This window comes from Homo sapiens, chromosome 18 (assembly GCF_000001405.40).
Source record: "Homo sapiens chromosome 18, GRCh38.p14 Primary Assembly".
Taxonomy (NCBI): Eukaryota; Metazoa; Chordata; class Mammalia; order Primates; family Hominidae; genus Homo; species Homo sapiens.
Window position 1 is genome coordinate 50,807,110 of NC_000018.10, and position 26,095 is coordinate 50,833,204.

General features: G+C 43.3%; 1 protein-coding gene and 2 pseudogenes across 12 annotated transcripts in view, besides 3 other annotated features; 2 read left to right on the forward strand and 1 right to left on the reverse strand.

The window, feature by feature from the left end:
* Window positions 1-18,271, reverse strand: part of MRO (maestro) — a 30,251-nt gene extending 11,980 nt beyond the window's left edge. For 2 of the 12 annotated variants that reach the window (XM_011526226.4, NM_001369508.2), the window contains exons 1-3: window positions 18,200-18,271; window positions 12,472-12,593; window positions 2,193-2,295 (exon numbers count right to left, since the gene is read on the reverse strand). In XM_011526226.4, coding sequence (XP_011524528.1) covers window positions 2,193-2,291 — 99 coding nt within the window. In that variant the 5' untranslated portion in view covers window positions 2,292-2,295; window positions 12,472-12,593; window positions 18,200-18,271. Of the gene's footprint in view, window positions 1-2,192; window positions 2,296-12,348; window positions 12,594-12,787; window positions 12,908-18,199 lie in introns of those variants that run through there. The other 10 variants (NM_001369515.2, NM_031939.6, NM_001127174.3 and 7 more) reach the window with 6 other exon arrangements.
* HNRNPA3P16 (heterogeneous nuclear ribonucleoprotein A3 pseudogene 16) lies at window positions 7,279-8,430 on the forward strand (annotated as a pseudogene).
* Window positions 12,592-13,225: an enhancer, noted in NCBI's record as "H3K27ac-H3K4me1 hESC enhancer chr18:48346071-48346704 (GRCh37/hg19 assembly coordinates)". NCBI's record gives its function as "activates a minimal SCP1, AML or CMV promoter by ChIP-STARR-seq in naive H9 embryonic stem cells {active_cell/tissue: H9 hESC(naive)}" and the evidence as "EXISTENCE:reporter gene assay evidence [ECO:0000049][PMID:30033119]".
* Window positions 13,062-13,111: an enhancer, noted in NCBI's record as "active region_13321". NCBI's record gives its function as "activates an Ori minimal core promoter by ATAC-STARR-seq in GM12878 lymphoblastoid cells {active_cell/tissue: GM12878}" and the evidence as "EXISTENCE:reporter gene assay evidence [ECO:0000049][PMID:35858748]".
* On the forward strand, window positions 16,468-16,995 carry RPL17P46 (ribosomal protein L17 pseudogene 46; annotated as a pseudogene).
* Window positions 25,485-25,594: an enhancer, noted in NCBI's record as "active region_13322". NCBI's record gives its function as "activates an Ori minimal core promoter by ATAC-STARR-seq in GM12878 lymphoblastoid cells {active_cell/tissue: GM12878}" and the evidence as "EXISTENCE:reporter gene assay evidence [ECO:0000049][PMID:35858748]".

Sequence of the window (26,095 nt, forward strand, 5' to 3'; positions counted from 1 at the left end):
AGAGCAGCTATGGGTGTGATAGAAGTTGAAAAAAAGAGGACTTGATCAGTGTTGATGTGATGTGGGAATAGGGATCTGTTTCACAGGGAAAGGTGTGCCGTTACTCCTCAAAGAGCTCCCTTTACCCCTTCTTCTCCAGCTCTTTCCCATTTTTCTGCTCTCCTTTGTAGCCAAATGCCTTGAAAGACATCTATACTTGTTTTCTCCCGTTTGTCTCCTCCCATTGCCTCTTGAACCCTCTGCAATCAGGCTAATGTCCCCTCACCCCTACCCTGCCAAATGACTAATTCCAAGGGTCAGTTCTCAGTAGTCATCTTACTCAACCTCTCAATAGCACTTGACACAATTAGCAAAGCATATCTGCAAACATCTAGTACACATCTACAAACATTTCAGCACTGATCTAGTACACATCTACAAACATTTCAGGATTAATCTAGTACACATCTACAAACATTTCAGGATTAATCTAGTACACATCTACAAACATTTCAGCACTGATCTAGTACACATCTACAAACATTTCAGCACTGATGTAGTACACATCTACAAACATTTCAGGGCACTTAAAGGATGTCCCAACTCCAGAATGCATGCATCTGAGCATGCAGTTAAGAACAGGAAGAGAAATGCATGAATAATGCAAATTGGGGAACACTGTGTGTCTGATGCAGACACCTGTACTTTAAGAACTAAACTCTATCATGCCTGTAATCCCAGCACTTTGGGAGGCCGAGGCAGGCGGATCGCCTGAGGTCAGGAGTTCGAGACTAGCCTGGCCAACATGGCGAAACCCTGAAACCCCGTCTCTATAAAAATACAAAAAATTAGCTGGGCATGGTGGCGAATGCCTGTGATCCCAGCTACTTGGGAGGCTGAGGCAGGGAGAATTGCTTGAATCTGGGAGGCGAAAGTTGCAGTGAGCTGAGATCACGCCATTGCACTCCAGCCTGGGCAACAGAGCGAGACTCTGTCTCAAAAACAAACAAACAAACAAACACAAACACCAAACTCTAAGTAATTGCAGGGCCAGGGATGGGGCAAGAGATAGGCTAGTCTCTGAGCCTTTGTGGCAAGCCTATGAGCTCTCATGCAGGAAGACCCTGGTGTGCAGCAGGACCCAGAAGACAGCAACATGTGCTAGAGTCAGAATCAAGATGACGAAATATCCAGACAAGATCAAAGAAGACAAAAGCCACCTCCCTACCATCCTTAGAAAGGGGCCTAGAGGGGCAGACTGGCTTGAGATTCAGCTATCTCAGTGGTGCTATGGATGAGATTTGGTGATTTCAAAGCTTCATTAGTATTCCTGGATTTTCATTACAGTTCATTCCTTTTTTATCTTATCTTTTTTTTTTTTTTAATTTAAGACAGCGTCTCGCTCTGTCGCCCAGGCTGCAGTGCAGTGGCATGATCTCAACTCACTGCAGCCCCTACTTCCTGGGCTCAAGCGATCCTCCCACCTCAGCCCTGAGTAGCTGGGACTACAGGTGCATGCCACCATGCCCAGCTAATTTTTGTGTTTTTGGTAGAGACAGGGTTTTGCCACGTTGCCGGCTGGTCTAGAACTCCTCAGCTCAAGTGATCCGCCTGCCTCAGCCTCCCAAAGTGCTGGGATTACAGAGGTGAGCCACCACACCCGGCCTCATTCCATATTTGTATTATTGAGTTAGCAGCAAGTTAAATTATTCTCAACTTATCTTCCTGTCATCCTGTAAACATCCTATCCATGTTAAAAGAACTGTCGGCCGGGCGCGGTGGCTCACGCCTGTAATCCCAGCACTTTGGGAGGCCGAGGCGGGTGGATCATGAGGTCAGGAGATCGAGACCATCCTGGCTAACAAGGTGAAACCCCGTCTCTACTAAAAATACAAAAAAATTAGCCGGGCGTAGTGGCGGGCGCCTGTAGTCCCAGCTACTCGGGAGGCTGAGGCAGGAGAATGGCGTGAACCCGGGAAGTGGAGCTTGCAGTGAGCCCAGATTGCGCCACTGCAGTCCGCAGTCCAGCCTGGGCGACAGAGCGAGACTCCGTCTCAAAAAAAAAAAAAAAAAAAAAAAAAAAAACTGTCATCAAAGTTTTTTCAGAAGGAACTTCAGTGGAGCAGGCCTAACTAACCACAGACCAAGCAAACATACATCTTACAAAACAGCTGCTGGGAGGAGAAATTTGTTCATAATATTTTGTGTCAGACCTTGGAAAAGAAAGATATCATTGATGTCCTTTTCTGCTTGGGCTGGGAAGTAGGGATGGAAAGGGGCTGGCCCAGGATTCTCCTCTGTCTTTGGTCCATGGAACTAAAAACAAAACAAAACAAAATCACATGCGCCACAGACACTCATCATCAACAAACATTGTTGTACAATGCATTGTGCTGGGGTAAGAATATAAAGAGGCAGCAATCCTGAGGCCTGTCTTTAGGAACCTTCCACTGTGGTGAGATAGAACAGTCACACAGATGAATAGCAACCCAAGGCAGCCCAAGAGGAATAGCAGCTTGGGGGTCAAGGGGGATCTGCCCTCTAGTTCCCCACTCCATTCTGCAGATTTCTTTTATCACTGTCACCAAAGAAGTAAAACGCAGATTCCCAGGCTCTGCCCACAGAGTTCTCATGAATTGAAATACAGAGTAGCCTCAAATTTTGTGTTTTTAAAAGTTCTCTGAGAATGTAAATCAGTACCTCTTTTTAGAGAGGATTTGGCACTATCTCTTACCACTTTAAAGCACACGTAATAGGCAATTCTTTAATCCTATAGATATGAACACATCATATGTTCAAAGATATACACAAAGGATAGCCACCATAGCACTGTAATAAACAATATTGTGTTCTTTAATGGTTTGGGCAGGGGAAGGGAGAGTGGGGCAGGGGTTTGAGACAGGGTTTTGCTCTGTCTCCCAGGCTGGAGTGCAGTGGCAGGAACACAGCTCATTGCAGCTTCTACCTCCCAGGCTTAAGCAGTCCCCCTGCCTCAGCCTCTGAGTGGCTGGGGCCACAGGTGCATGCCACCACGCCCAATTAATTTTTATTTTTTTTTACGTTGTCCAGTCTTGTCTCAAACTCCTGGGCTCATGCAATCCTTCTGCCTCAGCCTCCCAAAGTGTTGGGATTATAGGCTTGAGCCACTGTCCCCAGCCAATGGTTTGAACATAAATAAATTACATATATTACAACTATACAACTTTACAACGACTGCTATGCAGTCACTAAGAAGAATATTGGGCAGATCAACATGTGCTAAAATAATCTCCACGATATACTGTTGAGTGAAAAGTGCAAATCCATGTGTACAGTATGTTACTACTCGTGTAAAATCAGAATGAGGGCAGGAAATACATATGTACGTATATGCTTGCATATGCATAGGAGAAGGAAAAATACACAAGAAACATTAAGAGAGATGGCCTCTGGGCTGGAAATCCGAGGAACTGAAATTGGAGGGAAACTTACTTTTTTCACCTTTTTTGTATATGTACAGCTTGTAATTTTACCATGCGCATGTATTATTGAAAGAATATAATATACATAAATGTAGCTTACCAAGTGATTCTGATCACAGCTTGACTTGGGTCCAACTAGTACAAACCAGCACTTCTCAAACTTTAATATGCACTAAAATAATTTGAAGATCTTGTTCAGTGTGTCTGCAGCGGGAACTCGAGATTCTGCCTTTCTTCCAAGCTCCCAGGGGATTCCAAACAGGGACTATGCTTTGAGTGGCAAGGGCATAAAGTTTGTTTTTTTAATTATTATTATACTTTAAGTTCTAGGGTACATGCGCACAACGTGCAGGTTTGTTGCATATGTATACATGTGAGGGGCATAAAGTTAAGAGCCACTGAAGTCGAGAGAGGACCGTGGGCTGGAACAGCTGGTGGAGACTTCCCAAAGCACACTGGTGAGCTTGGAAGCAGAGGCAGAGCGTATATGACACATTGGGAGTCAACGGGATCCCATGCAGTATCATGGTGATGGTAGCAGTAACAATTAAAATAGTAGGAGAGAGGTAGAAGATAGGCTACAGAGGCTAGCTAAAGGCCAGCTGTGGAGGACTCTGACTTCTAAAGAGCTTGATTTCAATTGTACTTTGTAGATATGAGTAACCTGATGATTTTCTTTTAATTTAGGTGAAATCCATGTAACATACAATTAGTCATTCAAACAATGTTCTGCAACCACCACCTCTAATATCAAAACTTTTTCATCACCCCAAAAGAAAGCCCTGCACCCATTAGGCATTCATTCCATATTCCATCCTCCCCCAGCCTCAGGCAATGTTAATCTGCCTTCTGTCTCTATGGATTTACCTATTCTGAATATTTCACATATATAGAATCATACATTATTGTGATCATTTATAACTGGCTTCTTTTTCTTAGTATATTGTTTTCAAGGTTCATCCATGTTGTAGCATGTATCAGTATTTCATTCTTTTTTATGGCTGAATAGTATTCAATTGTATGGTTATACCACAATTTGTTTATCCATTCACCTGTTGATAGGCACTTGGGCTGTTTCCCTGTTTTGGCTATTTTGAATAATGCTACTATGAATATCTGTGCACAACTATTTGTATCTGCTTTCATTTATTTGGGGCATATACCTAGGAGTAGAATTGCTGAGTCATGTGGTAATTCTTTTTTTTTTTTTTTTTTTTTTTTTGAGACAGAGTCTTACTCTGTCTCCCAGGCTGGAATGCAGTAGCTCACTGCAACTTCTGACCCTGGGTTCAAGGGATTCTCTTGCCTCAGCCTCCTGAGTTGCTGGGATTACAGGCGTACGCCACCATGCCTGGATAATTTTTGTATTTTTAGTAGACACGGGGTTTCAGCATGTTGGCCAGGCTGGTCTTGAATTCCTGACCTCAAGTGATCTGCCTACCTCAGCCTCCCAAGTGTCAGGATTACAGGCGTTAGCCACCTAGCCTGGCCATCATATGGTAATTCTATGTTTAACTTTTTGAAGAACCACCAAACTGTTTTCCACAGTGGTTACACCATTTTACATACCCACCAGCAACGTATGAGGGTTCCAATTTCTCCACATCCTTACCAACATTTATTTTCCATTATTATTGTTATTATTACTAGATCCATGTTAGTAGGTATGAAGTGGTCTATCCTTTGTGGTTTTTATTTGCATTCCCCTAATGACTAATGAGGCTAAGCATCTTTTCGTGTGCTTGTTGGTGATTTCTATGTCTTCTTTGGAGAAATTTCCATTCAAATCCTTTGCTCATTGTCAGTTGGGTTGTTTGTCTTTTTCTGAGTTGTAAGAATTCTTTATATATTCTGAATACTAGACTATTACCAGACGTATGATTTACAAATATTTTCTCCCATTCTGTGGGCTGTCTTTTCACTTTCTGGATAACGTCTGTTGTGCAGAAAAGTTTTTATTTTTAATGAAGTCCAATTTGTCTATTTTTGTTGTTCTTACTCATGCTTTTAGTGTTAAATCTATGAATCTATTGCCACATCTAAGGTCATGAAGATTTACCCCTATATGTTCTTTTAAGCGTTTTATAGTTTTCACATTTCTATTTAGGTCATTGATCCATTTTGAGTTAATATTTGTATATAATACATGGTAGGGGTTCAACTGCATTAGAACCATTGACTTGTATGTGTTTTGTGTTTTATTTTTTTTAATAGGAGAGATGGCAGGCAAGCAGCTGCAGCCATTCTTAACCCTGGCTACATTAGGATCACCTGAGGAACTTCTAAACCTCCAGACTAAGTCTGCCATTATCTCTGGAGGGAGACCCAGGCATCAGTATTTTTTAAAGCCCACCAAGTAATTCCAGCAGGCAGTCACTGAACTACAGTGACCAGTGACAAACTGCCTTGGTTTACCCAGGGCTGGGGAGCTTCCAGGGACATGGGACTTTCATTGCTAAAGCTGGAAAAGTCCTGGCCAAACCAAGACACACTCCTCTCTGATGCAACCTGACCCTTTTCAACAGCTGTACTTTGGAACATTTGACTCACTTGATCTGGAGGTGCATGGGGACTCGGTTTCTCTGCCATCCTTGCTCCCTGGGTGGATTTGGTCCATGAAACCCCAGGTGGATTTGCTCCATTCTGGAGAGGTCCATGAAAACACTCCCTCACCGCCTAACTTCCAGGACCTATATCTCCTTCATATCTGGCCAACAGGAATCTTCTCACCACTGCAATGGGGCACCAAAATAAAACCCCAGAAAACTGCACCCCCACCAATTAGCAAGAGTTTCTCTTTCCATCAGTTACCTGGCTGAACTGAGATTCTCTCTGTTTGATTGAAGGTATTCCCACAGGCTTCCTCATTAAACCAGTGGTTCTCACACTTCAGTGTGCATCAGAATCACCCGGAAGACTTGTTAAAACACACATTCCCAGGCCTAGGCCCCAGAGTTTCTGATTCTGTGCATCGGCAGCAGGGCCTAATAATTTCTATTTCTAACAAGCTCCCAGGGGACACTGGGATGTGGCTGGTTTGGTGACCACACTTGGAGAACCACTGCATTAACAGAAAGAAACCACAGCAGTACAGTGTAGCTTCTCTCCAGAATAAAGGGATTTTAAAATTCACATTAAGGATGGAGCTGGAGGTCATTATCCTAAGCAAACTAACACAGGAACAGAAAACCAAGTACTGCATGTTCTCATGTTCTCACTTATAAGTGGGAGCTAAATGTTGAGTACTTGTGGACACAAAGAAGGCCACAGACACCAGGGCCTACTTGAGGGTTGGAGGGTGGGAGGAGGGTGAAGATGGAAAAACTACCTGTTGGGTACCATGCTTATTACCTGAGTGACAAAACAATCTGTACTTCAAACACCCACAACACACAATTTGCCTTTATAACAAACCCACACATGTACCCCTGAAACTAAAATAAAATTTAAAAATTTTAAATTCACATAGAGTCAAAAAACATGCTTGGTTGTTTCTTTCTGGGGCTTTTCTTTTAACAACTTCATGTTTCAATAGAACCTAATGATTCTCAGGTCAGATGCTCCAGATCAGAGCCGACAGGTGCCTGACAATGGGTACAGGGAGACTAAAAGACGTAAAACTCCTGTCCCATGTTGAACGAGGGGTTGAACACAATCTTACTTTAGACAAATAGGATTGGTTATTTATATTAGCATACTTGTGAATTTTAATAGCATTAAGATTACCTTCAAAAAAAAAAAAACTCAAAGTGGAGGCAAAGCTGTCATCCGATTGCCCCCAGCCCGACTCGGGCCATCACCATCTGCCCCTGCAGCCAGTGAAGGTGGGGGCGGGGAGGAGAGCCATGACCCACGGGAATCAGGGCAGTTGAGAAAACTGTTCTTGGTGGCCTGAGCTTTGAAACTACAGAGGCCCGTTTAAGAGACCATTTTGAGGAATGGGGCACACCCACAGACTGTGTGGTAAGGAGAAACTCCCAAACAAAACATCTCGGGGGCCTTGGTTTTGTGACTTACGCTCATGCAGCAAAGTGTGCTCAACCACATAAGGTTGATGGGCATATAGCGGAACCAAAGACAGCTGTCTCTAGAGAGGGTTCTGTAAAGCCTGGTGCCCATCCAACAGTAAAGAAAATGTTTGTCGGGAAGTAATAAGGAAGAGACAGAAGAATATAATTTGAGAGACTCCTTTGAAAAGAGTGACAAGATTGAAACCACAGAAGTTATGAACCAGTCACGGTGGCTCACGCGTGTAATTTCAGCACTTTGGGAGGCTGAGGTGGGCAGATGACTTGAGCTCAGGAGTTCGAGACCAGCCTGACCAACATGGTGAAACCCCCGTCTCTACTACAAATACAAAAATTAGCTGGGCATGGTGGCACGTGCCTGTAATCCCAGCTACTTGGGAGGTTAAGGCAGGAGAATTGCTTGAACCCAGGAGGCAGAGGTTGCAGTGAGCTGAGATCATGCCACTGTTCTCCAGCTGGGTGATAGAGCAAGACTTCGTCTCAAAAAATAATAATAAAAAATAAAAAAGTTATGGAAGCCAGGCAGAGTGGAAAACAGAGAGGATTTGCTCTTGTAACTTTTGATGATCATGAAACAAATGATGAAATTGTTATTCAGATATACCACGCCATTAATGGGCATAATTGTGAAGTAAAAAGTGTCCTTTCTAAATGAGATGGAGTCTACCAGGTCATAAAGAGGTCATGGAAGTGGATCTGGCAACTTGGCTGGTCATGGAGGAAACTTTGGAGGTGGTGGAGATAATTTTTGCCGTGGTGGGAACTTTGGTGGAAAGGAGGCTATGGTGGTGAAGGTGATGGTAGCAGAGACAGTTATGCAGGAGATGACAGTGGATAGAATGGATTTGGAGGTGATGGTAGCCACTATGGGTGGTGATCCTGGTCGTAATAGTAGAGGGGGCCGTGGTGGTGGTGGACCAGGATATGGAAACCAAGGTAGTGGATATGGTGGCAGTGGTGGATGATATGATGGTTACATTGAAATTTTGGTGGTGGTAACTATGGTGGTGGTGGAAACTATAATGATCTTGGAAACAGCGATCAAATTATGAATGCATGAAAGGGGGCAGTTTTGGTGGAAGAAGTTCAGGCAGTCCCTGTGGTGACCGTTATGGATCTGGTAGTGGAAATGGTGGATATGGTAACAGAAGGTTCTAAAAACAGCAGAAAAGAAGGCTGGGCACGGTGGCTCACACCTGTAATCCCAGCACTTTGGGAAGCCGAGGTGAGCAGATCACCTGAGGTCAGGAGTTCGAGACCAGTCTGGTCAACATGGTGAAACCCCGTCTCTACTAAAAATACAAAAATTAGCTGGGCATGGTGGCGGGTGCCTGTAATCCCAGCTACTTGGGAGGCTGAGGCACGAGAATCGCTTGAACCCGGGAGGCAGAGGTTGCAATGAGCCAAGATCATGCCCCTGCACTCCAGCATGGGGGGTAGAGTGAGACTCTGTCTCCAAAAAAAATAAAAAAATAAAAACAGCAGAAAAGGGATACAGTTCTTAGCAGGAGAAAGAACAAGAAGTTTTGGGAAAGCAGCAAGTTACCTTGAAACAGTTGTCCCAAATGCATTAGGAACTAAAAATCTGCCACGGAAGAAACGATGATACATAGTTAGAAAAGTTACTGCAGCTTAAACAGAAAACCTTTCTTGTTCAGGACTGTCATAGCCACAGTTTGCAAAAAGTGCAGCTATTGATAATGCAATGTAGCATTGGCTAGATGAACATCCCTATGGTCTTTTATCTGCTATAGCTTTTTCTTTTTCTTTTTCTTTTCATTACATCAGGTATATTGCCCTGTAAATTGTGGTAGTGGTTCCAAGAATAAAAAATTAAGGAATTTTTAACTTTTCAATATTTATATAGTTCAGTTTTTCCACATTTCTGAACAGACACTTTAACAGAATAGTTTTGAGGGTGTTTCCTTGTGGGTTAACAAATAAAGAAGATCATTGTGAATTACTGCTTTGCATAAATTTTGCTAACGTTAGCTGTAAAGAAACACCAGCTGACTTGCAGTTTAAGGGAATTCTATTCTCCCCATTTCCAAACCATGATCTAAATGGGTGCTGACATGTGGAGAGAATATTTGTACGCTTGCAACGTCTATTTTAAATAAATAGGATTGGGTATTTAAATTAGCATATTTATGAATTTAATAGCATTAAGATTACCTTCAAATGAAAAAATCTCAAATTTCAAAATCAAAATAAAAGAAGCAAAACTCCCTCAAGCTGAGGGCCCACTCACCAAGGAGGGTGTGGGCCTCATTATAAAACAGCTGGTATCTCTGTTCCAAGGCATAAGAAAATCATGCCTGAAGCTCCTTTCCATTGGTAAAGAAAACAAACCTGCTACCCTGTTCTTTCTGCTTGACTTCTCTTGCAAGATTAGCATAACAGCTAAGGGCTTTAGCCAGCCAAGGCAACTTCCCCAGGCTTCAGAAACCAAGCAGCCAGCATCGCCTTCATAGGCGTAAGTAGAACTCAAGGTCATGCTCCCATGCACGGCAAAGTAAATGAGAACTGAGTGGCTCCACCTGGAAGATTCGATCTGTGATTAGAGAAACTCACAGAGTTACATCTTGAGCTCACTACCTCTTCTAGCAAACCCTACCTCCCCATCACAAGAGAAAAACTGTGATGTGGTTTAATCTTACAGGTTGTCAGGGATCATCTCAATCTTGGGTGCAGGAAAAGTAGAGCATTTCTCAGTGTTGGTTGCACCTTCTATATCAGAATTCCCCGGGGTACGTGTTACAAACTCCAAGCCAGAGGTGGGTGCAGTGGCTCACACCTGTAATCCCAGCACTTTGGGAGGCTGAGCATCCCTTGAGCCCAGGAGTCTGAGGCTGCCGTAAGCCATGATTGCGCCACTGCACTCCAGCTGGGTTGACAGAGCAAGATCCTGTCTCTAAAAAATAAAAATAAATAATAATAATAACAATAAACTCCAGGCCTGCCCCAGAATTATTGGATCTGAATCTCAGGGAGTGTCGGGCCTGAGCATTGCACTTTTTGTATGTGGTGCCTGGTGATGCTACACGCCTGTTGGTATAGAAGAACCTCTATCCTGGAAATTAAATAAAGCTAATCCGAGCCCATGCAGTAGCAGAAACCATGGAAGTCAGGGAGGGAGCTGGGGCCGAGGGATGAGAAAGAGAAAGAGGTCAGTGTCTTTGCAGAGAACAAGAGATTGATACCATATGTTTGTGAAGCACTTTGAATTTCACTTTAAAAATAAAATTAAAATCACAGCAGCTGTTTGTCTATGATTTATGCAACTTTTCTAGGATGCTATTCTTCAGTTAAAAGTTTCATTAAAAAATAAAACAAATTAGGAGTTAAATCAAGGTCACAAGGCCCCTCGCTGGAGCCTTGTGTTTCTTGTACTTGCAGCTTCTTAAAGAACTCCCACCCCCCGCCCCATGCCCTCCTTCCTGCCTGCAGTGCCTCCCTCCTTTCTAAAACATGAAGTCCTTTACACCCAATCCAACAAAAACAAAAGGATCATTCTCATCTGTTGCAACACAGGATCTCAGAGAGGATCGTTTTAAACACACTGTGAATGAACGTAGTATACAGATTCCAAGATTTCTTAGGATGTTCTAACTCCTTCTCCAAGCCCTCTCACCCGTAAGACAGGCATTCTTTCCTAGGAGAATTACATTTTCTGGTGGGTTTCTATGGTCACCACATATGCCTAGCCTTGTATGACCAAGACCAGGAGGTCACCTGGCCATTTGGAAGCCAAAGACACAGCTCTGCTTATAGTTTTACTCATCTCTGCACACGTTCTTCAACGAATTCTTCTTCCTCTGGAACATACCCCTGAGTGAGCTATGTGCAGACCCCTTGGTTTTCACGAACCCCAAGACCCCGGCTGGGGCTTGTGTTCATTGCCAGGTTGTGCTCTACCTGATCTTACTGAAGATACATGGATTTGGGGTAACTTAGAAGACTGTTTTATGCTTTACACTGACTCCCATCTGCTTTTGCAAACTTGAATGATTCTGACTCAAAATATTAGATTTTTGGTCAATAATCCTTTTATTTATTGAAGCCAAAAGGTATATTATGAAGGCCAAAATTATAAAACACTTTGATTTTATCTCATCTGTAAAATGAGCAGAAGAAACTGTTAGATTGCTTAAAAATCCTTCCAACACTGAACTTATAAATGACAATAGTAGGCTGCGTGTGGTGGCTCATGCCTATAAATCCCAGCATTTTGGGAGGCTGAGGCAGGCAGATTGCTTGAGGTCAGGAGATCAAGACCAGCCTGAGCAACATGGTGAAACCCCGCCTCTACTAAAAATACAAAAATTAGCCAGACATGGTGGTGCACACCTGTAGTCCCAGCTACTCAGGAGGCTGAGGCAGAAGAATCACTTGAACCCAGGAGACAGAGGTTGCAGTGAGCCGAGATCGGGCCACCGCACCCCAGCTTGGGCAACACAACAAGACCCTGTCTCAAAAAAATGAAAAAAAAAATTAATATTAAAAAAATCGTCTTCATTTTAGAAAAGAAGAAACTGGGCTTAAAGTAATGTTGAACAATTAACTCAAAGTCAAATACTGGCAGAGCAGATTTTAGGACTCTGAAAGATATCCTTTCAGTCACTGTGCTATAAGCCTAGGTTCAGCTCCCAGGCAATGTCCTGTGAGCTGAACGAGGGAAGACAGACCGCATAGACATTTCAGTTTAAAGTGTCAATATCTTCCCTGAGTCCCTGCCATTCTATTATATTGCTGACAATAGAATGATCTATAACCCAACTATTGATCGATTAACATAGTTTGTGAAAAGCAAACAAAATCAGCTTCCTGGTCAACATTGCCCACTTCAGTTTTACAAAGAGAACATTACCAAATCCTACCCCCTAGAGGTCGAGCTCCCATACTGGTGACCAGAGTGACATTCCAGAAAGGTTTTGGGAACCCAAGTGCAGCCAGGACGCCTCCCGCTGCATCTGGCTGCCCCGGCCAACAGTGTCCCTTACCTGCGGCTCCTGCAGGCGGCTGCCACGTGATGAACCGGAGCCCGTTCCTGACTCGGGAGGGCTGCTTTCCCGGGTAGTAGCCAAATGTGATGACTCGGCTAAATTTTCCCAGCCCTGAATTCCTAACATACAAGAAGGGAAATTAGGAGGTGACGCAGGGTCTGTCCAGGATAACGGGTCGGCACAGAGTGTTGGAAAGTGAGAATCAAATAAGAGGGGAAAGTCAAAGTTTATAGAGTATTTGGGCAGGGGAGGGAATTGTTCTGGAATGAAACCGACAAGAATATTGTAGGGTGGCACAAGCATGACTTGCTACCTTTGCTTCCCCACGCCATGCTGAGGTGTTTTTCCTTCTCCTTGCTGTGATTTCCCCTCCTTCTTCCCTCATGCCAGCCTGGTCGACACTTTCTGCAGAAATTCTGCAGATGGCAATTCTGGGGACCTTTCCTCTGCACCAAACAAAACCTCCCTGCCAAGGCCCGTTCCCCATGCGGCCGCGAGATGGCGGCATGACTCAATGGACGGGTTCCAGGCGACCCCTGCACAAAGCCGCCGCCGTGGCTGCCTCCTTCCTTACATAATCCTGTTAGAGCGCATTTAATCTAAGGATGGGACACTGTGTTCCATGCCAAGCAGCCTCATCGTGGCTGATTGTTGCACCAACAACAAGAGCTTTAACCGTTGACGTCCCTTCCTGCTCAAGAAACACCGTATGTCCCGAAAGGAGCGATTTAAGCTCTCAAAATGATTTATTGGTAAAAAGCAAAGCAAAATTAAAACCGGGGAATTACAGCACCTGCAGAATTTAGGAGCCTCTCTCTCTCATCAGCCCTCCTTCCCTGACTCTCCAAACACGTGCATAAATCTATTTAACAATAATTAGTTATCGTCTCGCTCTGCATTGGGTCATAAAGGGAGAAAATATGTCCTGAAAGGAAAAAAGAACAGTTATATTTTCAAAGACAGAGGCACTTATTGTTATGCTAATAGATAACATTCAATTAAAACTTCTGTGTGCCAAATGTTGTGATAAATATTACATAGACTATCTCATTCAATTGTTACATCAAACCAAAGGTTAATACTCCTACTATAGTCTCCATTTTAAGGCTGGAGAAACTGAGGCACAGGGAGATTACCTTGACAAAGGTCATGCAGTTAATTTGTGGCAGTTAAAATTCAGCTACAGGCAGGCTAATGTAAGAGCTTGGACTCAGCCATGATGCTATGCACTGGACTGGTCTAGAAAACCCAGGAGATAAACAGAAAAATATAAACCAGAGAACTATGTCAGAGTGGAAGATGAAAGAAAAAGGCAGAAAGAAAATCGATGCTGCTGAGAAAATAAGAAGAATGAGGCTAAAACACCACCCTCTTCAGATTAAGTTACAAGGGAACCACTGTGACATTTGAGGACACAATTTCAATAGAGTGACAGAGAAAGGAAGCTAGACTGCAAAACTAAGGGGCTATGAGGAAAGAGGAAATTGAGATGTCTTGCTGCAAAAGGAAAGCAATAAATAGACTAGAAGAGACAGCAAGGTCAGGCAAAAGCATTTTGGTTTTCTTGTGTGCTTTTTGAAATGGAATAAAGCCTGGCCTTGTTTGAAAGTGGTTGCAAGGGAGCCCTAATATGTGGCTGGTGCCAAGTAGTGGTAATAGGAAGAGGTGGAGGGGGCATCAAGGGCACGAGGGAAAGGGTTAGCTCTGGAGGAGGAAGAAAGATGGCTGCCTCTGCCTGCAACTGGGAGGCAGCCACAGAGATGAAGATACATCAACACAAAACTGAGAGGAATGGGCGAGTTCAATTCTTCCAAATTAGCTTTAATCTTTTCAGTAAAACCAGAGTTAGGTTATCTGCCAAGAGCGAGAATGAGGTTTATACGGCCATAATCTATATACTGAACTAATCCATGTAGTGCTTAGAATGACCAAAAAGGTAATAAGATTATCCGAAGAACAGAGGAGACTGGAGAAAGGAAGCCCAAAGTATGATTGTAAAGATTCTCTGCAAAATCTCCTTTGTGAATCAGAACTGAAATTTACATCCCCTCCTCCCCATGAACAGAAACACAACAAACTATTAATAACCCCTTGTGTCTAAAGTTTCTTTGTATTCATGTTTTAAGATATTTGACAGAGAAATAGTATCTTCTCTACTGTTAAATAGGAGAACTAATATGCAGATAAATTTTCCTGTTTGACTTAAAACTACAAAGAACATCAGGGCCAGAACTGGAATTGATATCCAGGAGCCTTTCTGATACTTGCACTGTGCTGACCTCAGCTCTACTAAACACTTCTCATAAACGGCCTGGATGCAGCTAACTGCCCCTAGAGAATCCCAGACACAGCACAAACTTGGGAAGCATCAAAATCAACGCATGATGCCCACAAGAGTCTAAGATTCTCCTTATGTGGCCCTGGGTCACAGTACAGTTCTTTGGAAATTAGAGGGCAAGTTTGATAATTTGATTGCAACATATTTGCATATCTATAACATGATGTCCTTAAAAGAACACACCATAATTATTTAATGTAAGGATTTAATGACTCTATTTTCATTCTCAATTAACATTTCCTTATTGCCAGAAGTACACTGGGGCTGGCACAACTGGAAAAAGCAAAGAGGGTAATTATTTAGCCTGCATTACTGATGAAAAGGGCAACAGGCAAAGCTAAAGCAATCCACAATTCACCTTGTATGTGAATTACATGTGTATTACAATGTGTAATCAGGAAATTTATCTTTTTTAGTTTATTTTATTTTATTTTTGAGACAGGGTCTCACTCTGTCAGCCAGGCTGGAGTGCAGTGGGGGGAACTTGGCTCACTGCAACCTCCGCCTCCCAGGTTCAAGCGAATCTTACGCCTCAGCCTACCGAGTAGCGGGACTACAGGCGCCTGCCACCACACCCGGCTAATTTTTGTATTTTTGATAAAGACGGGGTTTCACCATGTTGGCCAGGCTGGTCTCCAACTCCTGACCTCAGGTGATCTGCCTGCCTCTGGGATTACAGGCATGAGCCACTGGGCCCTGCCAGGAAATTTATCTTAAAGAGAGAGATTTAAGTTTCCTCCCTCTCATCTTCTTTCAGGAAATACATCCCCCGCCCCCCGCCCCCCGCCCCCCAGCTAAGCTAAACTCTGTCTTGATTTTCACTTCTAAAAAGAAGTAAAATCAGCCACCTCCTTAGCCACAGGTTGGGTTTAGCAGCTTCTCATTCTTTCCTTCTTTCTTCCAGTGTTTACTGAGATCCTGCTTCCATGGAGGCAGAGTGCTCGGCAGGTGGGACCAACACTCGGACTGCGCTCTCAAGGAGAATCAACCAGTAGAGGACTTGGGACTGGGGCTTACGTGCCCACAGCGCAAGGCAGGAATTGATAAGAGCCAAGGAGAGGAGGTGATAATGAGTCAAAGGGCAGTCACTCGGGAAAACCCTTTGTAGAGGATGGAGCATCTACTCCTGCGCTTAGTGAAACCTGTTAGACAGAGAGGCATATGAGAAATGCCTCCCAGGAGGCAGGCCCAGCGAGAACACGAGGCCATGAAAGCCCGCCAGCTAGCCACCCCATGAGCCACCTAACCTGACTCCTCCACAGTCCACTCGCCTCCAAGGCAGACAGCCTTGGGAGGCTCTTCCCAAACTTCATGCCACATTTGCTTCCTCCCACTTCTCTACCTATGTGTTTTAATCTAAAAACAAAGGTCTTTTGGCTGCTAATCTTTGAATGCAATAGATGCTGCAGGAAGAAGCACTGGGGTTTATCCCTCCAGCACATGGAGGCAGGAGCGCCCCGTGGCCTAGGTCTCCTCACGCCCAGATGCAGTTCTCCAAACTCTATAAACAGTAAGCTGTCTCATCCAACCCTCCATCTGGCTGTTATGCCTTCCATTTTCTCTATTTTGTTACTTGATAGTTATTGTTGGTACCAGAATGCAAGAAAAAATTCAAGCTCTTTCTGTAGCCTCTTGGCCAGGGGTAATCTCTGAAAATGGTTTGCCTATCCCTTGACCCAGAAAACTCCACAAAATCATGCAAACCAAGGGACTCAAATCTTTATGTTCGCTTTAAGAACACCCATGTAACTGTGCAGGCCATCAAGGTATGCATACCCAAAAAACCACCAAGTACCTGAAAGATGTCACTTTTCAGAGGCACTGTGTGCCTTTCCGTCATTACAAAGGTGGAGCTGACATGTGTGCCCAGGCCAAACAATGGGGCTGGACACAGGATTGGTGGCCCAAAAATGTGTTGAATTTTTGCTGCATGTGCTTAAAAATGCAGAGAACAATGCTGAACTTCAGGGTTTAGAGGTAGATTCTTGGATCATTGAGCACATTCAGTTGAGCAAAGCCAAGATATACACCATATTTACAGAGCTCATGGTCAGATTAACCCATATGAGAGATCCCCCTGCTACATGGAGATGATCCTCGCTGAAAAGGAACAAATTGTTTCTAAACCAGAAGAGATATTTACACACAAGAAAAAGGTATCCCACAAGAAACTGAAGAAACAACATGGCCTAGGAATACATTCAGTATAAGATAAATGCAAATAATAGTTTAGCCAGGCATGGTGGCTCACACCTGTAATCCAAACACTTTGGGAGGCTGAGGCAGGAAGATCACTTGAGCCTAGGAGTTTGAGACCAGCCTAGGCAACATAGGGAGACCCCCATCTCTATAGTTAAACAAAAAATTTAATTACCCAGGCAAGGTGGCATGTACCTGTGGTCCTAGCTACTTAGGAGGCTAAGGCAGGAGGATTGCTTGAGCTCAGGAGGTCAAGGCTAAAGTAAGCCATGATCATGCCACTGCACTCCAGCCTGGGTGATAGAGCAAGACACTGTCTTTTCTTTTTTTTTTTCTTTCTTTTTTTTTTTTTGAGACAGAGTCTCATTCTGTTGCATAGACTGGAGTGCAATATTGCGATCTCGGCTCACTGCAACCTCTGCCTCCCGGGTTCAAGCAATTTTCCTGCCTCAGCCTCCTTAGTAGCTGGGACTACAGGTGCGTGCCACCATGCCTGACTAATTTTTTGTATTTTTAGTAGAAACAGGGTTTCACCATGTTGGTCAGGCTGGTCTCGATCTCCTGACCTTGTGATCCGCCCACCTCGGCCTCCCAAAGTGTTGGGATTACAGGCATGAGCCACCACATTCAGCCAAGACACTGTCTTTTAAAAAAAAGTTCAAAAAAAAAAAAAGGCCGGCACAGTGGCTCACGCCTATAATCCCCACACTTTGGGAGGCCGAGACGGGAGGATCACCTGAGGTCAGGAGTTCAAGACCAGCCTGGCCAATGTGGTGAAACCCTGTCTCCACTAAAAATACAAAAATTAGCCAGGTGTGGTGGTGCATGCCTGTGATCCCAGCTACTTCGGAGGCTGAGGCAGGAGAACCACCTGGGAGGCAGAGGTCGCAGTGAGCCGAGATCGCACCACTGCACTCCACTCCAGCCTGGGCCACAAGAGCAAGATTCCATCTTAAAAAAAAAAAAAATTAAAAAAAAAAAGTAAGTTCAAGTTTAAATGCCTTTCCTACCTGAGATATTAATTACTCCCACACCATCACCAACACCCCTACTTCCAAAAGGTAATTATGAACTTCTGTAAACATTTTTCAGTTGAACTGGTTAAGTCTATAGCAGTCTATCAACTGTGTTGAACTACAGTGTCTAACAGAATCAGTTGAGTCCTGAAACTGTTCTGTGCTGTCTTACCTGAGCTAGGCAATGAGGAGCCCAGCGTGGCTAGCTTCTTGCTCTGTGCTCATCCTCATGAAGGGTGAATATGAATCAATCTAGAAACATCTCTGTCCTTTAAACAAGCTTGCAGTGAACAATAAGCCACATTTTGTCCTTAAGGATGAAACATAGGCCAGATTAGAGTTTTATCACAAGAGAGAAATACGTAATAAGGCCTCTGCTATCTGCCCCTGATAATTGCTAGTGATACATTCTAAATGATGCAGTTTTGCAAACTTCTAAGATTCTCACATTACATTTCCTATTTGTGCGAGGGCCCAGTGAGAAAGCTACACATGTTTTATTGTGGAAGAGAACAAAATCAGTAAACGGCACCACGAGACATCAAACCAATCCTGCAGACAACACTGCCTATGATTTCTGCTCTTAACACCTCAAAGTGTTCTTAGGCTATTTGTCATTTTCTCCTCTCAACCTTGGAAAGGTCATTCTTGTGCTTCTTTGACATATAGGGAAATTTGGGGGAGTGGAGAAGAGTGAGTGGGGAACTTCCCCAAAGTCCCAAAGCTAGTTGATGGGATTGGGATCTAAATGTTTGGCTTCCTCTTGTGCTTTGTCCAGCCAGTCATTCTATGGATTCTGCCTTTCACCTCTAAAGGCAGAGTTCTTATTCCCATGGCCTTCCTTCCTCCCACTTTTTAAAAATCTTTTCTCAACTTGTTTTCTTCTCTGCCCCCTCCCCCACCCCCACCTGCCTTGTTTCTATTTTAAGTTTGTTTTGAGCATTGCTTAACATATTCCTTCCTCTCATAGTCTTAACATTCCACGGCTTGTCCCTCAATTTTATACTTAGAGTAGAATCCAGTCGAATCCCACAAAGCGACAAACCTGTAGGCGTTTTATGACAATGAGTGTAATGTCAGGCACAATGTGACCAATAAAACAATAAACCCATGCCCAAAAGTGCTTTACCAGGCCTGCTGCCGTGATAAAGATCCAGTCCATTATTGGAACTGTTGACTCTTCCTTGAGAGATTGGAGAAGACTCTAAGAGTAGAACCTTTTTTTTATATACCCCACAATAGATACATTACAACAGTCTGTCTTTGATCCCATAATACCAGCTTCCCACCACAACTCCATCACAGCATTACTGCACCTTTCCCATTATTGTTCATTTAATTTCCCCAGTAAATAACAAAAGAACAGCCAGGCGCAGTGGCTCACCTGTAATCCCAACAATTTGGGCGGCCAAGGTGGGCAGATCACTTGAGGTCAGGAATTCGAGACCAGCCTGGCCAACATGGCCAAACCTCATCTCTACTAAAAATACAAAAATTAGCAAGGCGTGGTGGCAGGCACCTGTAGTCCCAGCTACTGGTGAGGCTGAGGTGGGAGAATCACTTGAACCCAGTAGGTGGAGGTTGCAGTGAGCCAAGATCATGCCACTGCACTCCAGCCTGGAGAACAGAGTGACACTCTGTCTCAGAAAAAAAAAAAAAAAAAAAAGAACAAAAGCAAACATTTTTATCAACATATATATGTTCAGGAACCAACTATGCAGGTTTCAGGTGCCCTGCAACTAGAGCAGATTATTTTGTCTCCTGCCGGCATCCAATCCTTCAAGGGATTGTGCATTAGATCATCCCTAGAAAGGAAAGGAAAACAGGTAACATGCAAATTACCTGATTTTCTCATTGAGAATTTTTGGGGAGGTAGCTTTTGGCTATTCCTATTCTCATTCTTTCTTACAACCTCAGGTAAATAAAAGTTGACCATGACTTAAAACAACACAGTATGTTTTAGATCTTAGAAATCAAGCCCTATTGTCTGTCAAAAATCAATCTCTCTTGGTACAAACATTTTGCAGGGAAAGTTGACAATAGTTTATCAAAAGTCCATGTGCATATGCCTTCTTTTTTTTTTTTTTTTTTTAGGTAGCTCCTGAGCAGCTGGGATTACAGGCATGCGCCACCATGCCTGGCTAATTTTTATATTTTTACTAGAGACAGGCTTTTGCCAAACTCCTGAGTTTGAGTTTCATCTCAGACTCCTGACCTCAGATGATCCACACGCCTTGGCCTCCCAATGTACAGGCATGAGCCACCACGCCTGGCCGCATATGCCCTTTGACTCAGTTGTTCTGTTAATATTGATTTACCCAGGGCCATGGTGACTTTGTTCAAATTAGAATAAAGTATCCCCTCATCAGGAGATTTTATGTCTATCTTCCAGAAGAGTATCATAATAACTATTTAAATTTATGGTGTCTACAAACTGAATGGTGCCCTCATAGAAAAGGCACTTTATGCAGTGTACAACTTATCTAACTACATGCAACGGCCCAGTGACCTCATGAATTCATATGAAAGAAGATATCGAGTTATATGTAAAAGGGTATTCATTGTAACAGCAAAATAAATTATCACAAATGTCCACCAGCAGGGCACACTGTATATAAATAGATTAGAATACCTTTATACAATAGAATACTAGGAAGCATTATAAAAAGAATATGGGAAGATCTATACTGTAGACACTGATAATGAAAACATGTTCAAAGTTTATTAAGTGAAAAGACCAAGGTATAAAATAAAATATATTATAATTCAATTATGTACATTTCAAAAAGAAATATATGCTGGTACATAGCCCTTTTTTCTGAAAAGACACTTGAGAAATTATTAACAGGAGCCTTCTAGAAAGAGAGTAATTGGGTGAAGAAGGAAGCTTTCAGTTCAAATGTTTACCTTTCTATATTATTTGAATTTTCTCACTGAAAGCATTTATTACTTTCTTTTTTTTTTTTTTTTTTGAGTTGGAGTTTCACTCTTGTTACCCAGGCTGGAGTGCAATGGTGTGATCTCAGCTCACTGCAACCTCTGCCTCCTGGGTTCAAGCAATTCTCCTGCCTCAGCCTCCAGAGTAACTGGGATTACAGGCATGTGCCACCACGCCCAGCTAATTTTTCTGTTATTAGTAGAGACGGGGTTCCATCGTGTCAGCCAGGCTTGTCTCATACCCCTGATCTTGGGTGATCCACCCGCCTCGGCCTCCCAAAGTGCTGGGATTACAGCGTCTCAAAACAAAACAAAAAACAAGTCTAAGAGGTGTTGTTTAATTTCTGTGTACATGCCCCCCAACAGAATACATGAAAAAATAGACTGCAGGGGTTTTTGATATAGCAATGGGGCCAAGGAAGGGAGGGAGGCAGGAGGCAGGTGGTGAAGGCTGGGTGCTGACCCAGGAGACACACCCTCTATGCACCGCTGTTCTCTAGGGGCATTTCTACCTCACAATTCTTGCTTCTGAAAACAAACAGATGCTACATTCATGTATCTATTGGACAGTGAATATATTTAATCATAGAAAAAGAATATCATTAAGCTCACTTTCTTTTATTAATTCGGTCCTAGTGGAGGATAAATACAGTGCAAGCAGAGCTGCCCATCACCTAAAAACCCAGGGGCTGTTAGAAACCTACTGTCCTTCCTTGATTCTACCATACTAAATGGGTGTAGAAGAATGACATTTGCTGCCTTTCTCATTTTGATTTCAGTCCCCAGATAAAGAAGAATTCTAGCTTTCTGTTTGTTTCTGAAATGTAAACCACCGTTATGATAAAATAAAGCTGAATTCATTATAATAAATTTTATGCTAAGAATATATTCTCTCAAATGACTTTTTTTTTCTTTCTTGAGACCAGGTCTCACTCTATCACTCAGGCTGGAGTGCAGTGGTGCAATCATGGCTCACTGCAGACTTGACCTTCCAGATTCAAGCGATCCTCCTACCTCAACCTCCCTAGTAACTGGGACTACAGGCATGCACCACCATGCCCAGCTATTTTTTTATTTTTTTGAAGAGATAGGGTCTTACCACGTTGCCCAGGCTGGTCTTGAACTCCAGGGCTCAAGTGATCTTCCAGCCTCAGCCTCCCAAACTGCTAGGATTACAGGTGTGAGCCACTGCGCCCGGCCTCAAATGAATATTTACTTAGACTACACATACATTATTCCACAAAAAGAGGGCAAAAAAAAAGATTTTCTTTCGATTAACAGAAGTTACATTTAATGTAAGTAAGTAACATAGCAACCTCAAACCTAAGAAAAGAGTGACATTTATATGTTTATTTTTAAGATGACGTATTTGTATTAAATGACTTTTAAAAAATTCCCTTCAGTAAAGATTGTCAGAGGAGAGCATTTTAACTGTTACAGATTTTACAAAACATTTTTCTGCTTTGCAGTTTTGCCTTTTGAATCATGTATTTTTCCCAATGTCAAGGCATCAGACCTTGAGTTTGATTACAACTTATACACATTTTGATCCAAAGTTATACACATTCCATTCTTCTACCCCTTGGAAAATGGGTTTTAAATACTGAACTCATTCCAGGCCAAGGTCTTCTCTTGACACATTAACACAACAAATACTCTTTTATTGCTGAATTTCTATTTGGAGACTGATTATTTAAAACTCCACTATTCATTTGCTTACCAGATTTGCCTTGGTTACCCTGTGTCATTAAACAAATATTTATTCATTTGATAAACATTTTTGAGAATCTTCTAGGTCCCAGTCTCTCTGTCCAGCACTAGAGCACAGGGAATAGACAGATAAATGTAAAATTGAAAAACGCTGGGCACGGTGGCTCAAGCCTGTAATCCCATCACTTTGGGAGGCTGAGGCAGGTGGATCACCTGAGGTAGGGAGTTCGAGACCAGCGTGGCCAACGTGGGGAAACCCTATCTCTACTAAAAATAGAAAAATTATCCAAGTGTGGTGGCACGTGCCCTTAATCCCAGCTACTCGGGAGGCTGAAGCAGGAGAATCACTTGAAAGGCAGAGGTTGCAGTGAACCGAGATCCCACCACTGCACCCCAGCCTGGACAACAAAGGGAGACTCTGTCTCAAAAACAAAACAAAACAAAACAAAATCTGGGTATGGTGGCTCACACCTGTAATCCCAGCACTTTGGGAGGCCGAGGCGGGCAGATCACGAGGTCAGGAGATGAAGACCATCCTGGCTAACACGGTGAAACCCCATCTCTACTAAAAGTACAAAAAAATTAGCTGGGCGTGGTGGCGGGCGCCTGTAGTCCCAGCTACTCGGGAGGCTGAGACAGGAGAATGGCATGAACCCAGTGGGGCAGAACCTTCAGTGAGCCAAGATCACGCCACTGCACTCCAGCCTGGGCGCGGAGCGAGACTCTGCCTCAAAAAAAAAAAAATTGAAAAAACGATATGATTCCTGCCCTTAAAGAAGTTGCAAGCTGGGCTCTTCTGTCCAGTGTTTATCAAGATGTTTGTTCTATAGAATCGGGGGCAGGACTAAGGCGAGACCAGAAAGACACATGTCCTAGGAGAATTTTAGGAGGTGTTCACTCTCGGGGTTGCACAGGCCTGCCAGTGTCCTAACCCAGCCACATGGCTGCCCCACATCATATCTGCTTCCCTTCTGCTGTCCTCCCAGCTCAGAGACATCACAGACTCACACTTTCATTACAGTCAGCTCCTTTCACTTCCTCGAAAATGTCTACATTTTGTGTCTATTTTCTTTTTTTCTTTTTTTTTTGAGACAGAGTCTTGCTCTTTCACCCAGGCTGGAGTGCAGTGGCACTATCTCGGCTCACTGCAACCACTGCCTCCTGGCCTCCAGCAATTCTCCTGCCTCAGCCTCCCCAGTAGCTGGGATTACAGGCACCCGCCACCACACACGGCTAATTTTTGTATTTTTAGTAGAGACGGGGTTTCCCCATCTTGGCCAAGCTGATCTCGAACTCCTGACCTCAGGATCCACCCACCTCAGCCTCCCAAAGTGCTGGGATTACAGGCATGAGCCACCGCGCCCGGCCTCTTGTCTATTTTCATGTCTAGGACTATGCAACCCTCTCTATTGCTCCCCCACCTCACCCCAATTAAGCATTTTTTCCAGGCCTTGTTTAAACCCCACAAGGAAAATCCTCCCTAGATCTTACAGCCTGACCAATCTCTCTCCATGCCCTCTGCAATTCTGAGAAGGCCTGTAGCACTAACCAATTTATATTCAAATTATCACATGGGAATCTCCTGCCCCTGGTCTGTGAGCCTGTGGAAAGCAAGGCCTGTGTTTCAGCTTTCGGAGGACCTGACTCCAAACCCATGGCCCCCAGCACAGTACTTGGCACATGATGGGCTTTTAGCAAATTATTCTTTCATTTATCTGAGTCTTTAAAATCCTTATCACATTTTTAGTGTTTCTTTTCACTTTCACGGAAGCAAACAATTGTTTGAGGCATTCGTAACACTTGAATGTGATTCTACAGAAGCAAGACAGGAATTATAATGAGTTAGCTTGTTAGAAGATGCATTTCTTATTTCCCAGCAACTAATTAAATGTAATAGTAGCTTAAGTAAATAGACATTTTGTTTAGTACTACTGTAATTTGTGTGTGGTAGGGTGTTAACTTGTTTATGACAATAGACTTTCTCTGTTGTGCACAAGATGGTCACTCATTGGGTGAAGGTCTCCACAGCAACTTCTTGGGGTAACACCACTATTCAATGAGTTATAATTAATAAAGAATTATGGTGGTGACACTCTTCCAGTTGGGCAGCTCCTAATGATAGCATGATCTCTTTACTGATGATAAGAATGTGGCCTTACCCATCACTAAGGCACACCACATCATCAGTGTAGGAAATTATTTACAACTCCCCTCCCAAACATGTACCCCAAATGGTCATCTAAGAGTACAGTTAGGATACTTCTTGAGATGATGTGCTGAAAGAGTTAGTGGCCTGGGAGCCTTTGCAGAATTGCACTAATGGTCATGAAAGGGACTGATCTACCATAATTATTTTAGTGGCCCCCCTACCCTGGGCATTTGTGATGTTGATGGGCAATTAATTTAATAGCCAAAGCTTGGCTATGACCAGTCATTGGCAGTAGGGAGTAACCCTTCCCCCTTCCCTTTGCTGTTTCCTTGCAAGGACCTGCTACACGAGATGTTTGTCTTCATGGTGTGACTTGACAATGCAGCTTAGAGCTATAGCAATTTTGCTAAAATATTTTAGACAAGTAAACTCCAAATACTGAATGGAAAGCCGTTGTCTTTCTGGAAAGCTCTTAGCTAGAGTCCTTCATGATGTTTTTCCTCCCTCCTCTCCCCACATCCAGCCATCATTCCTCTTCCGCCTAAAATATCTAGCAATTACAAACAAAATGAGCTTCAGTTGCTAAAGTGGGAAGCAGGGGATTTCTAGTCCTTGGTGACTTTACTGCTGCAATCAAAATAGGCATTATCAACCAGAAAGCTTCCAACGCTGGAAGCTCCAGGGCACACCCAGGAGATGTGCTGTGGAGTGAGGCTAGGTTGTGGGCAGGGGGTAAATAAAGACAACACACACTGTTTAATCAATAAGCTTCTGGAAAGGTGACATAAAGACGGAAACTGTAAAATCAATGAGATTTTAAAGTTAGGTAATAAGAGTTGGTTGTTTTACAGGAAATACAAATGAAAAATCATTTTCTATTTTTTTCTGCTTTCAAGTTTTGAATTTAGGGCTTTCTAAAAGTAGCCAGCCAGTTCTTTGAGGCTGGGGTTCCACAACCTGCAGATCTGAACAAAAGAGAAAGTAATGAAGGGGAACCTATACCGATGTTACTCAGCATCATGTGCTTTGGGGCCACATTATTCATTTGAACTGGTAATGGCGGAAGGAAGAACCACCTGCCCTCTGTCTTCCAAGTTATCTTTAATATCAATTAGCAACAAGATTTGCAGGCCAGGTGCAGTGGTTCACACCTGTAATCCTAGTGCTTTGGGAGGCAAATGCAGGCAGATCACTTGAGTCCAGGAGTTCAAGACCAGTCTGGGCAACACGGCAAAACACCATCTCTATAAAACATTTTAAAATTAGCTGGGT